General features: G+C 49.2%; 2 pseudogenes across 4 annotated transcripts in view, besides 4 other annotated features; one reads left to right on the forward strand and one right to left on the reverse strand.

Annotated features, from left to right (window-relative positions):
• Window positions 1–620: 620 nt before the first annotated feature.
• On the reverse strand, window positions 621–3,342 carry CENPBD1P (CENPB DNA-binding domain containing 1, pseudogene; annotated as a pseudogene). Its single transcript, NR_172519.1, has one exon. The product of NR_172519.1 is annotated as a CENPB DNA-binding domain containing 1, pseudogene (transcript).
• Window positions 3,104–3,163: an enhancer, noted in NCBI's record as "active region_11431". NCBI's record gives its function as "activates an Ori minimal core promoter by ATAC-STARR-seq in GM12878 lymphoblastoid cells {active_cell/tissue: GM12878}" and the evidence as "EXISTENCE:reporter gene assay evidence [ECO:0000049][PMID:35858748]".
• Window positions 3,304–3,783: a silencer, noted in NCBI's record as "silent region_7935". NCBI's record gives its function as "represses an Ori minimal core promoter by ATAC-STARR-seq in GM12878 lymphoblastoid cells {active_cell/tissue: GM12878}" and the evidence as "EXISTENCE:reporter gene assay evidence [ECO:0000049][PMID:35858748]".
• Window positions 3,304–4,457: a biological region, named in NCBI's record as "H3K27ac-H3K4me1 hESC enhancer GRCh37_chr16:90039036-90040019".
• The window catches only part of AFG3L1P (AFG3 like matrix AAA peptidase subunit 1, pseudogene), a 28,208-nt pseudogene continuing 17,587 nt past the window's right edge, over window positions 3,426–14,046 (forward strand). The window contains exons 1-5 of one of the 3 annotated variants that reach the window (NR_003228.1): window positions 3,426–3,611; window positions 8,485–8,648; window positions 9,656–9,724; window positions 11,088–11,182; window positions 12,619–12,769. The product of NR_003228.1 is annotated as an AFG3 like matrix AAA peptidase subunit 1, pseudogene, transcript variant 3 (transcript). Of the gene's footprint in view, window positions 3,612–8,450; window positions 8,649–9,655; window positions 9,725–11,087; window positions 11,183–12,618; window positions 12,770–14,046 lie in introns of all 3 variants that reach the window. The other 2 variants (NR_003226.1, NR_003227.1) reach the window with 2 other exon arrangements.
• Window positions 3,474–4,457: an enhancer, noted in NCBI's record as "H3K27ac-H3K4me1 hESC enhancer chr16:90039036-90040019 (GRCh37/hg19 assembly coordinates)". NCBI's record gives its function as "activates a minimal SCP1, AML or CMV promoter by ChIP-STARR-seq in naive H9 embryonic stem cells {active_cell/tissue: H9 hESC(naive)}" and the evidence as "EXISTENCE:reporter gene assay evidence [ECO:0000049][PMID:30033119]".

Consider the following 14,046-nt stretch of genomic DNA (forward strand, 5'->3'; position numbering starts at 1 on the left):
ATGCCCGGCTAATTTTTTTTGTATTTTTTAGTAGAGACGTGTTTCACCTCGTTAGCCAGGACGGTCTTGATCTCCTGACCTCATGATCTGCCTGCCTTGACCTCCCAAAGTGCTGGGACTACAGGTGTGAGCCACCGTGCCTGGCCATTTTTTTGTATATTTTTAGTAGAGATGGGGTTTCACCATGTTAGCCAGGATGGTCTTGATCTCCTGACCTTGTGATCCTCCTGCCTCAGCCTCCCAAAGTGCTGGTATTACAGGCGTGAGCCACCGTGCCCGGCCTCAATTTTTCTTTTTTAAAAAACGTCTTCTGCTGGGCATGGTGGTTCACACTTTTAATCCCTGCACTTTTGGAGGTCCAGGCTAGAGGATCATTTGAGCCCGGGAGTTCCAGACCAGCCTGGGCAACACACAGACTCCTTCTCTACCAAAATAATTAGCTGGTGGTGGTGGCATGTGCCTGTAGTCCCAACACTCCAGAGGCTGAGGTATGAGGATTGCTTGAACTTTGGAGGTCGAGGCTACAGTGAACCAAGATTGTGCCACTGCACTCCAGCTTCGATGATGGAGCGAGACCGTCTCAAAGAAAAAAAGTTTTCCTGGCGATTCTTACACATATATGAGCTTTTAAAAGCATATATTTAAATAACATTTTAATGACAAAATTTGATGCTCTCAAGTATCAAAATGGAAATACCAACAGCAAGGTTTCCAGGGATGTCCAACACCACAGAGCAGGGAGGCCTGGCTGGGCCTCCACTGTTGAGGTCATCATGGTGCTTCCGCTTTATTCTGATTAACTTTTGGTTACACACATTGAAAAATGACCTAAGAGAGTTGTTTTGAGTGGCGCTTTTTCTCATTGTACAGCTCCTGCTAGCAGTTTACTGCAACACTGATTTCTCTGGAACCTCTCAGTTTCCAGTCATCATTAGGGCTGTTACTAGCAAGGACCTACAAGCCAGCCTCAAAATGTGAGAGGGCTGCCGACAGTCTTCCTGTGGTTAGCTGCCACAGTGCCCAGGGACCATCTTCCCTCTCCTCCTCCCCCACTGCCAGCTCCTGTTCCAGCCGCATCAGTTCCTCATTTGAGAGATCTTCTTCATGGGACTGCAGCAACTGGTCCACAGCAGCCTCAGCAACCTCTTCAAAGGCCACATTTCTGGCAAGGGTCACAATGTTTTTTTGAAGCTGTGCAATGTTATCTGCCTGGGAAAAACGCTGGGCCTGAACACACTCAGGCCAAATCTTCTTCCACATGCTGTTCATTAGTGCTGGTTTGAGCTCCTCCCATGCGATGGCCATGTCCACAGCATCCATGATGCTGTAGTTTCTCCAAAATTCCCTGATCATAGCTGTGTCCTCACCATCCGCTGCTTCTAGGATGTGCTGAAAAGTCCTTCTCAGATAATGAGCTTTCAAGGTCGAGATTACACCTTGACACGTGGTCCGGATTGAGTCAGCTGTACTGTCATGAAGGTATTATACTCTTGTACTTCTTTTTTTTCTTTTTTTTTTTTGAGACGGAGTTTCACTCCTGTTGTCCAGGATGGAGTGCAATGGCGCGATCTCGGCTCACCACAACCTCCGCCTCCCAGGTTCAAGCAATTCTCCTGCTTTAGCCTCCCGAGTAGCTGGGATTACAGGCCTGCACCACCACGCCCGGCTAAATTTGTATTTTTAATAGAGACGGGGTTTCTCCATGTTGAGGCTGGTCTCGAACTCCTGACCTCAGGTGATCCGCCCGTCTCGGCCTCCCAAAGTGCTGGGATTACAGGCGTGAGCCACCGCGCCTGGCCTGAAGGTATTCTACTCTTAGTTATCAGAAAGGTCGCTCAAATTTACAGAGTGGCATGACGCACTGTCTAGTATGAGCAGTGCTTTGTTGGTGAGATTATTTTGGGCACTGTATTTTTCAACGGCAAAAAAAGTAAGTGAACCATTCATGAAAGATGCTCCTGGTCACCCAAGCCTTTCTGTTGGAGCGCCAAATCACGGGCAAACTGGGCTTCAAGAACCCTTCAGAGCCTTGCGGGTTTCTGAGCGGTACACCAGTAAGGGCTTCAACTTAAAGTCCCCAGCTGCACTGCCACCAAGCAGCAGCATCAAGCGATCTTTGGATGACTTAAACCCTGGCTCAGCATTCTCTTCCTCGGAAATAAACGTTCCTTTGGGCATTCTCTTCCAATCAAGTCTCGTCTCATCTACGTTAAAGACACCTGGGGGGTGTACTCACCTTCTTCGATGATGCTTTTCAGCATTTCTGTGTACATGTCCTTGTTGCTGGGAGCTGCGCTGTTCATCTTGAAGTGGGGCAAACAGTGGCACTCCTTGAATCTCACAAGCCACCCTTGACTTGCATGAAACCTCTCCGTTTGAGAACCTTCGCCATGTTCACGCTGTAAGTCATCAAACTCAGCCTTCTCCTGAACGATGGCGGCGCTCAAGGTCGCATTTGGCTGGCTCTGGTCTTCCAGCCACAAGCTCAGCAGCTGCTCCATGCTCTCCATCACTGCACTTCGATGGCGAGTCAACCGAGAGGCTCTCAGAGGAGTAGCTATTTGTGAACTCGCTTTGATTTTTTCTTTACTATCTCGAATGGTCGCCACTGTAGAGATAGCAAGATCTAAGGCCTTTGCGATCTGACTGAGCTTCTCACCCGCTTCAAATCGTCGTAACACTTCCAATTTGAGGTCAAGGGTAATCGCTTTCCGTTCCCTTTTGGCACTAGGGATGACAGTTGCATCTGTGGGCCTTTCCCCAGGCATTTCTGCCTCCAAAATGTCAGAAAATCACAGCGGTCTCAAGCGCAAGAACGCTGTGGTTCCTCTACGTCCCCTTGCAGAACTCGGTCAACAGAAAACGAGGCTGCGAAGAGGCTCAGGCTGATGTCCTGGAGACGTGGACGGGTCCCCATGGGCAGGCCCAGCCCCACTGCCTAGCCCAGCTGCTGCTTCACTGTCCACTCCGAGGAGGCCGCGCGGGTCTCCCGGTACCGCTCGAAGTCCGCGTGTTGGGGCCGTGCGGCCGCAGGCACATACAAGCGGCCTGGGTCCTGGGGCTCCAGAGAACAACCGACCAAGCAGACAAACGGAACTCCGTGAGGGGGACACTGCGGCAGAAACGTCCAGGGGCGGTTTTCCAGTGCAGCGGAGGGCGGACCGGGCGGGTGTTGTTTCGGGAGCTGCTTTCCATGGAGGACCCCAGAAATAAGTGTTGATGCCGATGCCCGATTTAAGATAAGTCTAAAGGCGCTGGCTATCCCCTTAGGGCCCAGCTGTCTGGGCAGGGCGAGGCTGCGCTGGCGATCAAACCCTCGAACGGTCAGGCGACGGCGTGGACACCCAAGACGGGGCCCCAGCCGGCGCCGCGCCCCTGCCGCGCCTGCGCGAGTCCTCCCTGCGCTCGCGGGGCCCTAGGACCGCTCTCCCATTGCGCATGCGCGCGCCCGGGCGGCGCGGGATCTGGGTCTGGGGATGTGGTACCGGCTGCTGGCGGCGGCCGGCAGTAGAGCGGTGGCCAGGCCGCTGGCCTTGCTGTGGCGATGTGGTGGCCCAGGAGGCGGCAGGACGGCCAAGACCAGCGCGAGGGCCCTGGGCAAGGCCCGACAGGTGAGCGGGGAGGCGCTCTCCGCCGGTGCCGGGCGGCTGGTCTGCTCTGGACGCCGCGTGACGCCATTCGCCTGCGCCGGCCGCGGGGGAGCGCGGGAGGGCGGCGGCCCTGACCTGGTCCGCGCAGTGAGGCCGACAGCACCTGGCCAGAGCTTCCCGCCCCCCCGCCTCCTCCGTCTCCAAACTCCTGCTCTTCTCCTCGCTACCTCTTCCACCCACTTCTTGCGGAATTCCCGCTGTTTACTGGATGCCCGGTCCCCTCGGACATCGGAACCGGGACCTCCAGCCTCCTTGCTCGGCTTTGTAAAGCGCCGGGCGTTGAGCGATTTGCGCTTGAGTCCCACCTCCTCGCGAACCAGCTTTGTGGCCCCGCGTGCCAGCCCGTGTCCTCCTGGGCTCGGCGGCGTTCGGCTTTATCCACCTCGCAGTTACTCAGTGAACCAGACACGATAAGAGGCGTGAAAGGGTTTTGCAAACTGTTCTTTATACAGCGACCAGTCACTGTCGTTAACAGCTAATGCTGAGAGCTAAGGGCTTTACGCGGATTATCTAAGTCTTATACCCGCCCTATAGGTAGATATCGCTATAACCCTATTGTTATTTATTATATTATTTTTAAAAATTTGGGAGCGGGGCCGGAGTCTCGCTGTGTTGTCTAGGCTGATCTCGAACTCATGGGCACAAGCGATTCTCCTTTCTCAACCTCTGGAGTAGCTGGGACTACAGGCTTGAGCCACCGTGCCCTGCTCATAACCCTGTTTTATAGGGTTAGGGTCTAAGACCGGAATATTCTGCATTTTAAGATTGCTTTATTTTTGTATTGATACATCCCAGTGAGCAGCAGTAACGTTGAATTGTTTTTCTAATGCAGAGTTTTTGAATTTTGATCCCAGAAAGCTGTCATGGTTTTCAGACAGCAGTAAAATAAGAAGAAGGATCCCATGAGTATTTCTGTCCTGTCTTCAGGAATGAACTCCCCCCCCCCCCCGCCATCTCCATTCATTTGGGAAAGTGTATGATGGTTTAGTTGCTAGCAATATGAGTGAAAGCAGTCTTTCAGCTTTGGCCATGTGGCATCAGCATTGCAGAGGTCCTCCTGGTTGCTAACACATATTGAAAGTCAGCGATATGCAATATCGGTGTGTACAGCCTAATATAGCCCAGGAGAGTTTTGAATCATTGAACTGCTATAGACCCCTTTATGAAGGGAGGACGGACGTTGAATGATCTTTGAGTTCCTTCCCGGACTGGATCATTCATCTGCTTCTCATTTATTAGAGATAGATCTGTTAATCATTTACCAGGGAATATCTTGGTGAACACGACAGGCAAGGGCTCTGCCCCACTGGCTTGCTCTCTTTTGAGAGCTTTATGACTTGTGGACTGAGGGTGACATGCAGAGGTTGGAGAGGTGGCAGCAATTTGCATTTTTTTTTTTTTTTTGAGACGGAGTTTCCCTCTTGCCCATGCTGGAGTGCAATGGCGCAATCTTGGCTCACTGCAACCTCCGGCTCCCAGGTTCAAAGCGATTCTCCTGCCTCAGCCTCCCGAGAAGCTGGGATTACAGGCGCATACCACCATTCCCGGCTAATTTTGTATTTTTAGTAGAGACGGCTGGGCACGATGGCTCACGCCTGTAATCCCAGCACTTTGGGAGGCTGAGGCGGGCAGATCACCTAAGGTGGGGAGTTCGAGACCAGCCTGACTGATGTGGAGAAACCCCGTCTCTACTAAAATACAAAATTAGCCCGGTGTGGTGGCACGCACCTGTAATCCCAGCTACTTGGGAGGCTGAGGCAGGAGAATCGCTTAGAACCTGGGAGGCGGAGGTGGCAGTGAGCCAAGGTCGCACCATTGCACTCCAGCCTGGGAGTGAGACTCTGTCTCAAAAAAAAAAAAAAAGAAACAAAACAAAAAACACCCTAACAGCTCTCCTCATGGAAGCTTATGCTGTGGAGGCTTCCATGCAGTCATCTTTCATTCATTGAGCTACCTACTCTGTCCTTGTTCTCGTAGAGTTTACGTGCTGTGCAAGGAGGAACCAGACAATGGATAAGCAAGTATTAGGCATGTTAGGAAAAGGAAGCAGAATAAAGGAAATAGAAAATGAAGAAAGGGAATGGAGGAGGGATAAACCCTGTTATTTGTTGTGTCCCCTGCAGGAAGTGAGGGATTGAGATGAGCTTGCTAGGAAGATGGAATAGAAAATGCACTGCCCTAGGGTGGGTCCAGCCTTGAGTTCTGTGTGATCAGTATGAGGAAGAGGTTAGTGATAGACAGGTCAAGGAGGGGCAGGGCCTCATAGGCCTGCTGACGTTGCACCTGTGTGCTGTGTGTGTCTGTGGGACCCGGAATAAGGGTCAACTCATTTATGGCCTGACTGGAAAGAGGACAGCAGCACTTGGCCCTGTTTAAGGGAGTTTGTGTTTTGCCTACCTTCACATCTTGGCTTTACATATACAAAAACTAATTTAGCAAGGTTATTTACTGTGAGCTGTGAACTGACTTGCAGAAAACTCCAAGAAGGAATGGTAAACTCCTATCTTAGTGTTTACATTTACTGTGAGAACTGCATCAGGCTTAACCAGATTGTCTCCTAACCAAATCACAAAAGGACTAAATTGCGAATTAAAGCAAAGGAATTGGATGTTTTATCAAGTTTTGGAAGCCTGAAGAGTCATACTTTGTACCTTCAGGGCTGTAGGCTACCTGGTATCTACCCAGCCACCAGTACCAGTGCCACACTGTCTTTGAGGTGGTCCTGGGGTAGTCATGGAAAAGCTCTGGAAGATTGGGGCATCAGAATTCTCATTGCACACTTTCAGCTACCAGCTGTCTTCAGGCACTCACATTACCTCTCAGGTTCTACTTTCTCAGATGGGCAATGGGGATCAAGTGAGGTAAGAGGCACCTGGCACCCTACAACGTGCAGTATGGCCACCTTCTGTTGTTTGTGTAGGTCTCCTGTTGACCCACACCTTGGGTTCCAAACCCCCATCGGGGAAACATTCATGGGATCCTTCGAGAGTCATTGCTAGCTCTGTGTCAGGTACTGTGTGCCATTGGTGCTGGGATGGCTGCTGCAGATCGATTTCGTTCACGATGTGGAATCGTTTGTTAGCCCCACAGCCTTTACTGTCAGCATTCTCTTTCTGAGCTGCTTTTTTTTTTTTTTATGATTTTAATAATTTTTTCATAGTATGTCTTACTTTTTAGTCTACTGTGGTCTTTTATAGGGATATTTGAATAATGTAGTTAATTAGAAAGTTACTAATTGGGGAATGATTTTACTTTGGGGTAGTAGCCTACAGAGTCAGCCTCCCCCTGAATGTTGACACAGCTGAAATAACATAGGTGTTGTCAACTGTGGGTCTTGTTTCATTATAATAAAATATTGGGGGCTCACACCTGTCATCCCAGCACTTTGGGAGGCTGAGACAGGTGGATCACCTGAGGTCAGGAGTTCAAGACCAGCCTGACCAATATGGTGAAACTCTGTCTCTAATAAAAATACAAAAATTAGCCAGTGTGGTGGTGTGCACCTGTAATCCCAGCTACTTGGGAGGCTGAGATAGGGAGAATTGCTTGAACCCAGGAGGCGGAGGTTGCAGTGAGCTGAGATGGCGCCACTGTACTCCGGCCTGGGTGACAGAGCAAGACTCTGTCTCAAAAAAATAAAATAAAATATTGGGGACAATATAAATTCACTGGTTATGTTGGGATTTTGTTGGATACAGTTAGTACTGGGTTATTGAGTGCTTAGATTTTGTTTTTTAATATTTGTGTATGTGTGTGGTTTTTTTTTTTTTTTTTTTTTTTGAGAGAGTCTTACTGTCGCTAGGCTGGAGTGCAGTGGCACGATCTTGGCTCAATACAACTTTCGCCTCCCAGGTTCAAGCAATTCTCCTGACTCAGCCTCCCGAGTAATTGGGATTACAGGCGCCCACCTCCATGCCCGGCTAATTTTTGTATTTTTAGTACAGACGGGGTTTCACCATGTTAGCCAGGCTGGTCTCGAACTCCTGACCTCAAGTGATCCTCCCGCCTCGGCCTCCCAAAGTGCTGAGATTACAGGCATGAGCCACAGCACCTGGCCGACGTTTTCCTCCTTGAAGACTGAAGAAAATACAGAGCTTCTGGAAAAATTATTTGTTTTCTTGGCCTGACAAAAACTTTTACCTCTTGCTGGATGCTGTATTACCTGTCTGTTGTCCCTGCTGTGAATAGCCACTGCACTCCAATGAGACCCCATCTTGAAAAAAAAAAAAAAAGGCTGGGCTCATGCCTGTCATCCCAGCACTTCGGGAGGCCAGAACGGGCAGATCACCTGAGCTTGGGAGTTCGAGACCAGCCTAATCAACACGGTGAAACCCCATCTCTACCAAAAATATAAAATTAGCTGGGCGTGATGGTGGGTGCTTGTAGTCCCAGCTACTGGGGAGGCTGAGGCAGGAGAATGGCATGAACCCAGGAGGCAGAGGTTGCAGTGAGCCGAGATCACACCACTGCACTCCATCCTGGGCGACAGCAAAACTCTGTCTCAAAAAAAAAAAAAAAGAAAAGAAATTAAGCTCTTGGTCGACCAAAGATGAGTCATAGTGTATTTCAGTATTTAAATTTTACACAATTTTATGTTTTAGTCTTACAGTCTTGTTTTTGAAGCTGCAATATTTCAAGTTACTAAATAAATTGCCTCAGTTTCTAAGCCGTGTTTTTTGTTTTTTGGGGGAGTTTTTTCTTGCTGTTGGAGGCTATAGCTATAAACATTTGCAGTGCATTTCTGCAGTGAGCTTGCTCCTGTTTACTCTATTGAATCATATTTCTAATGGGGTATTTAAGGCGATAAGCTCACACCTCACCCTGCTTGCTCCAGTGGTTATGGCCAGTGAGAATGTGCGGTGTTGCATTGCAGAAGAAGCTAGGAAAGCTCATCTGGCCTCCTGTTCCAGTGCTTCCAGGGGATCCACGTTCAGAAGCTGACTCTGCAGGCAAGACCGACGTTATTTTCCTGGTGGCTGTGTTCAAAACCACCCAAAGGTACCTGTCTTTCATCCACCATCATTAACAGCATGAGGTTTACAGGAACTGAGTGGCTTCCTCAGAGTGTGACTTCTACAGTGAGTGACCAGGGGGCGAGGGTCCAGACAACTCAGGGCACACCCCACTCCACCCCGCCCCATCCTACCCCTTCCTGGCTTCCATATCGAGCCACACAACATCCAGCACCTTCTCCATGTCTTTATGGTGTTGATATCTCACTAAAGCTGGTGAGAGAAAAGCTCTTTCCAAAGGAAGGTGCTAGATGAATCTTTTGGAAGGTATGGGAACAAACCTTGGTTTCTGCGTATCTGACTCTGAGGACCAGCTAAGCCTCATGTTTGGAAAGCAGAACAGAAACAATGTGCAGACTGGCATTACCTCAGAGCACACTTGCCCACTTGGAGTCCTTCTGTAGGCCATGGACCTGTGCTTTGTGCTTTGTGTCCAGGGACAGTGTTCACTGAAGCCCCTGGAGACCCTGTGTCTCCACAGAGTAGAAGGTGCTCCCTGCACTTCCCTCAGTGTTAGGACCTGAGGGCTCATGCCGATTGTATGAAGCAAGAAGAGAGGCAGGAGGAGGGAAAACTGGCGTCTCTCTCACTTTCTCTATATCGTCTTGACAGTACGGTTGCTTTTCTTGGTGTGATTCTGTCTTCTAAAATATTAGAACCAGGCTGGGCGCCACCGTCTGTAATCCCAGCACTTTGGGAGGCCGAGGCGGGCAGATCACCTGAGGTCAAGAGTTCGAGACCAGCTGGGCAACACGGTGAAACCCCGTCTCTACCAAAAATACAAAATTTAGCTGGGTGTAGTGGCGGGTGCCTGTAATCCTAGCTACTCAGGAGGCTGAGGCAGGAGAGTCACTTGAACCCGGAAGGCGGAGGTTGCAGTGAGCCGAGATCGTGCCACTGCACTCCAGCCTGGGTGACAAAGTGAGACTCTGTCTCAAAAAAAAAGAAAAAAAAAAAAAAGAAATACTAGAACCTCATCATTTTGTCCCTCAGGGTTTGAGAAATACTTTAAGAGGAGTGGAAGGAACACAAACTGAGAAACATCAACAGCACCAAAAAAAGGTAAAAGGGCCAGTTTGAAAAATCAGACTGTGAAGTTTTACAGTTGAGTACTTTTAAAGCATTCACTGAATGGGCTGATCTCCTTGGGAACTGATAAGCAGGTGGGCCTGTGAGTGTGTGATGGTGACATCGTCTTCCCTGAGCTTGCTCCTGGGCGGTACCCATCCTTCCCAGGTCACCAGCACCTTCTCAACCGGTTTAGATCCTAAGCCTCGACAAATCATTTAAAAATTATATCATGGTGTGATGGTGTGGACTGGGTTTTGGGATTGGCGAAGTCAGTATTTTGTGTTTCCCCTGTGAAATGTCTCCTGCTTGTGTACCGGTGAGCATGGGGTGAAGAAACACGTAAGTCATATTGGGAGGTGTGGTGACTTGCCTTGCTACGAAAGGAATGTTTCTTTTTTTTTTTTTTTGAGACAGAGTCTCACTCTGTCACCCAGGCTGGAGTGCAGTGGCACAATCTCGGCTCACTGCAAGCTCTGCCTCCTGGGTTCACGCCATTCTCCTCCTTCTCCTGCCTCAGCCTCCCGAGTAGCTGGGACTACAGCCGCCCGCCACCATGCCCGGGTAATTTTTTTGTATTTTTAGTAGAGACGGGTTTTCACCGTGTTAGCCAGGATGGTCTCGATATCCTGACCTCGTGATCTGCCCGCCTGGGCCTCCCAAAGGGCTGGGATTACAGGCATGAGCCACTGCACCCGGCCAAGGAATGTTTCTTTGAAGACTCATGTTTGTCCTTAAAATTTTGCAAATTTTTACTCCATCTTGTAATATGTTTGCCATTCCTGGGGTCACCTTGGCCTTCTCTGGCCTTTCATGGTGTTATTTTGCAGCTGTTGGAGTAGCACTGTATTTGTGAAGTGGACAGTGTCATGGCTTACTTGTTCTGGAACTTGTCCTGGAACATTACAGGAAGAGGCTGGTAGGTCCGTGGGACACAAATATACGTAGGAGGCCAGATTTTTTGGAGGAGAGGCAGACTCTGCTTAGAACAGGTGGTTTGTGTTCCCTGGTTCTCTTGAGAAGGGGGACCACCCATACCAGTCTGTCTTAACATTTTCTTCCTTTCTTTCTTTCCCCTAATAACAGCCAGTTTTGGGACTGTTACCCCAAAAAAGTTTACTATTAAAGCTCAATATGAAGCCAGCGAGGTGAAATTTTAGGGATTTTAGATGTATCTGAAGCTACTTCTCAGCAATATCTCCCCAGCCTCATCCTTTTCCTGTTGTCTCTTTATTTCCAGAAGGCACTGGTGTTATTAAAATTGTGTGTTGGAAGGTGTTTTTCTGTTTTCTGAATCTTCTTTCTCTGGAAAATCATATGTAATTGCTTTGTGAAGTCTTACTTTGTTTTCTCTCAGAGACTGGTGAACTAGAGAATGCTGAGTCTGGAGGAGACGGAGGCAGGAGAGGAGGGAAGCAGGATAACGTTGCCTGGTGGAGGCGGATGCAGAAGGTTTGTGTGCATCTTAGTCTGCGCCTGCTGCTGTAACAATACATCAGACTGGGTAATTTATAAACAGGGTACATTTACTGCTCACAGTTGTGGAGGCTGGAGGTACAAGATCATAGCCTGGACAACATGAACGCTGTCTCCACAAAAAATACAAAAATAAGCCAGGCGTGGTGGTGCGTGCCTGTAGTCCCAGTTACTCAGGAGGCTCAGGCGGGAGGATTGCATGAAGCTGGGAGTCGAGGCTGCGGTGAGCCGTGATCACACCACTGCACTCCAACCTGGGCAACAGATTGTGAGGGCACCAATCCCATTCGGGAAGGCAGAGCCCTTGGGACCTAATCCCCTCCCAGGGGCCCCATCTCTTAATACCTTCACCTTAGGGATTGAGTTCCAACATGGAAATTTTGGGGGAACACATAAATTTAAACCCATATCAATCTTTCTGCTTGTTTAAAGGTGAACTGTTGAATTAGTTCATAAGTTTCAAAGAAATTAGTTTCTAAAAATGTACTGAGGCCGGGTGCAGTGGGTCATGCCTGTAATCCCAGCACTTTGGGAGGTGGGAGGATTGCCTGAGCCTAGGAGTTTGACACCAGCCTTGGCAACATAGTGAAACCTTGTCTCTACAAAAAAAAAAAAAAAAAAAAAAAGCCAGGCATGGTGGTGTGTACCTCTGGTCCCAGGTACTCAGGATTGCTTGAGCCCGAGAGGTTGAGGCTGCAGTAAACCATGATCGTGCGACTGCACTCCAGCCTGGGTGACCAAGTAAGACCTTGTCTCCAAAAAAAAAAAAATTAAAAAAAAATAAAAATGTGCTGAGATTTCTATCTGGATTTTATTATTATTATTATTTTTGAGATAGGGTCTCACTGTGTCATCCAGGCTGGAGTGCAGTGATACGATCACTGCTTACTGTAGCCTTGACTTCCCAGGCTCAGATGATTCTCCCACCTCAGCCTCTAGAGCAGCTGAGACCACAGGCTTGCACCACCACTCCTGGCTAATTTTTTTTTAAATTTTTTGTGGACATGGGGTCACCCACCGTTGCCCAGGCTGGTCTCGAACTCCTGGGCTCAAGCAGTCCTCTCACCTTGGCCTCCTTTAGTGCTGGGACTACAGAGCTGAGTCACCACGCCTGGCCTCTGTCTGGATTTTAACAGACCCCCATAAGAGAGAACCCTAGCAACAGTGGCTCAAACACAGCGCTCTCTGTGGACTTTCTGCTTCTCCTGAGGCATCTGCTGAGCTGCGGCTTTCAGTGTGTGTCATACACCACGTAAAGATCTTTCCTCATGAGAGGAACTGAGGCTACATTGTGTACGGTCGGTGGGGGGGGGTTGCAAAACTTTCCTAATAACATCTGAAAAAGGAAATAGCTATTTTCATAAAGAAACTACCTTCATTTAACTGGAAAATGTGTTTTCTTTTTTCCACAGGGGGGACTTCCCCTGGGATGACGAGGATTTCCGCAGTCTGGCCCTTTTGGGGGCAGGCGTTGCCATGGGATTTTTCTACCTCTATTTTCGAGATCCTGGAAGAGAAATCACGTGGAAGCACTTTGTACAGTATTACCTGGCCAGAGGTCTGGTGAGAGGAATTTATAGTTTACCTACCTGGGAAGGAGGCCGCTGTAGTGGTGCACGTGGTCTGCGATGCCCTTAAGAAGCTGTGAGCTCTGAGGCCTGGGTTGAAAACCCGTTGTGTGGTAGATGTCCTGGGCAGTCCCACCCTCAGGCCATAGATGAGACACAGGTTTACTTTTCCCAGTAGCCAGCCCAACAGAAGGTTAGGAAGCTCATTTTTTAGATGAGACACAGTTTTACTTTCCCCAACAGAAGGTTAATAAGCCCATTTTCTTGCAAGGTGGAAGCTTCCTTAACATCTTGGCTTTTTGTTTTTAGCTTCAGCTTCTGTGAGTAAGTTCTGATTGTCTGATTGTGTCTGTTTATCATCAAGTATCAATTACATACCTAATGCAGATCTTTTGTTTCCCCTAGTGTACCCGTGTCCCCTCCTGCACCCCTGTCCTTTGCTGGCTGACCCTGGACAGCGGCTGGGGCTTTGTGTCTGTGCACAGGGGCATGTGGCACCAGCAAGCCTCCGCCTGTCCTTCACTGGGCCTGGTCTGTCGGGTTGCTGAAGGCCGGTGAAGCACTGCTCAGGGTTTAGTAACCAGCAAGCCTCCGCCTGTCCTTCACTGGGCCTGGTCTGTCGGGTTGCTGAAGGCTGGTGAAGCACTGCTCAGGGTTTAGTATAAAGTTACATGAGAGCAGGTGCCGTGCTTCTCAGTTGCCCTCAGAAGGACGTTTGTTAACTGATACAGTGTTAAGATCTGAACTTCTTTCTGTAGGAAAGTCCTGTTTTCCCACCAGGGTTTGTGGCTAAGGCCTTTTTTTTTTTTTTAATTAATTAATTAATTAATTTTTTTGAGACAGGGTCTTGCTCTGTCACCCAGGCTGGAGTGCAGTGGTGTGAAGTCTTGACCTTCTGGTTCCAAGCCAGCCTCCCACCTCAGCCTTCTGAGTATCTGGGACTGTAAAAAATGTAATTTTTTTTTTCCGACATGGAGTCTCGCTGTGTCGCCCTGGCTGGAGTACAGTGGCACGATCTGTATTCACTGCAACCTCCACCTCCCTGGTTCAAGTGATTCTCCTGCCTCAGCCTCCTGAGTAGCTGGGATTACAGGTTCTGGCCACTACACCTCCATGGGAGGTGGAGGTTGCTAGTTTTTTGTATTTTAGTAGAGACAGGGTTTCACTGTATTGCCCAGGCTGGTCTCGAATTCCTGAGCTCAGGCAATCCTCCCACCTTGGCCTCCCAAAGTGCCAGGATTACAGGCGTGAGCCACTGTGCCCAGCCCGCAC

This window comes from Homo sapiens, chromosome 16 (genome assembly GCF_000001405.40).
Source record: "Homo sapiens chromosome 16, GRCh38.p14 Primary Assembly".
NCBI lineage: Eukaryota > Metazoa > Chordata > Mammalia > Primates > Hominidae > Homo > Homo sapiens.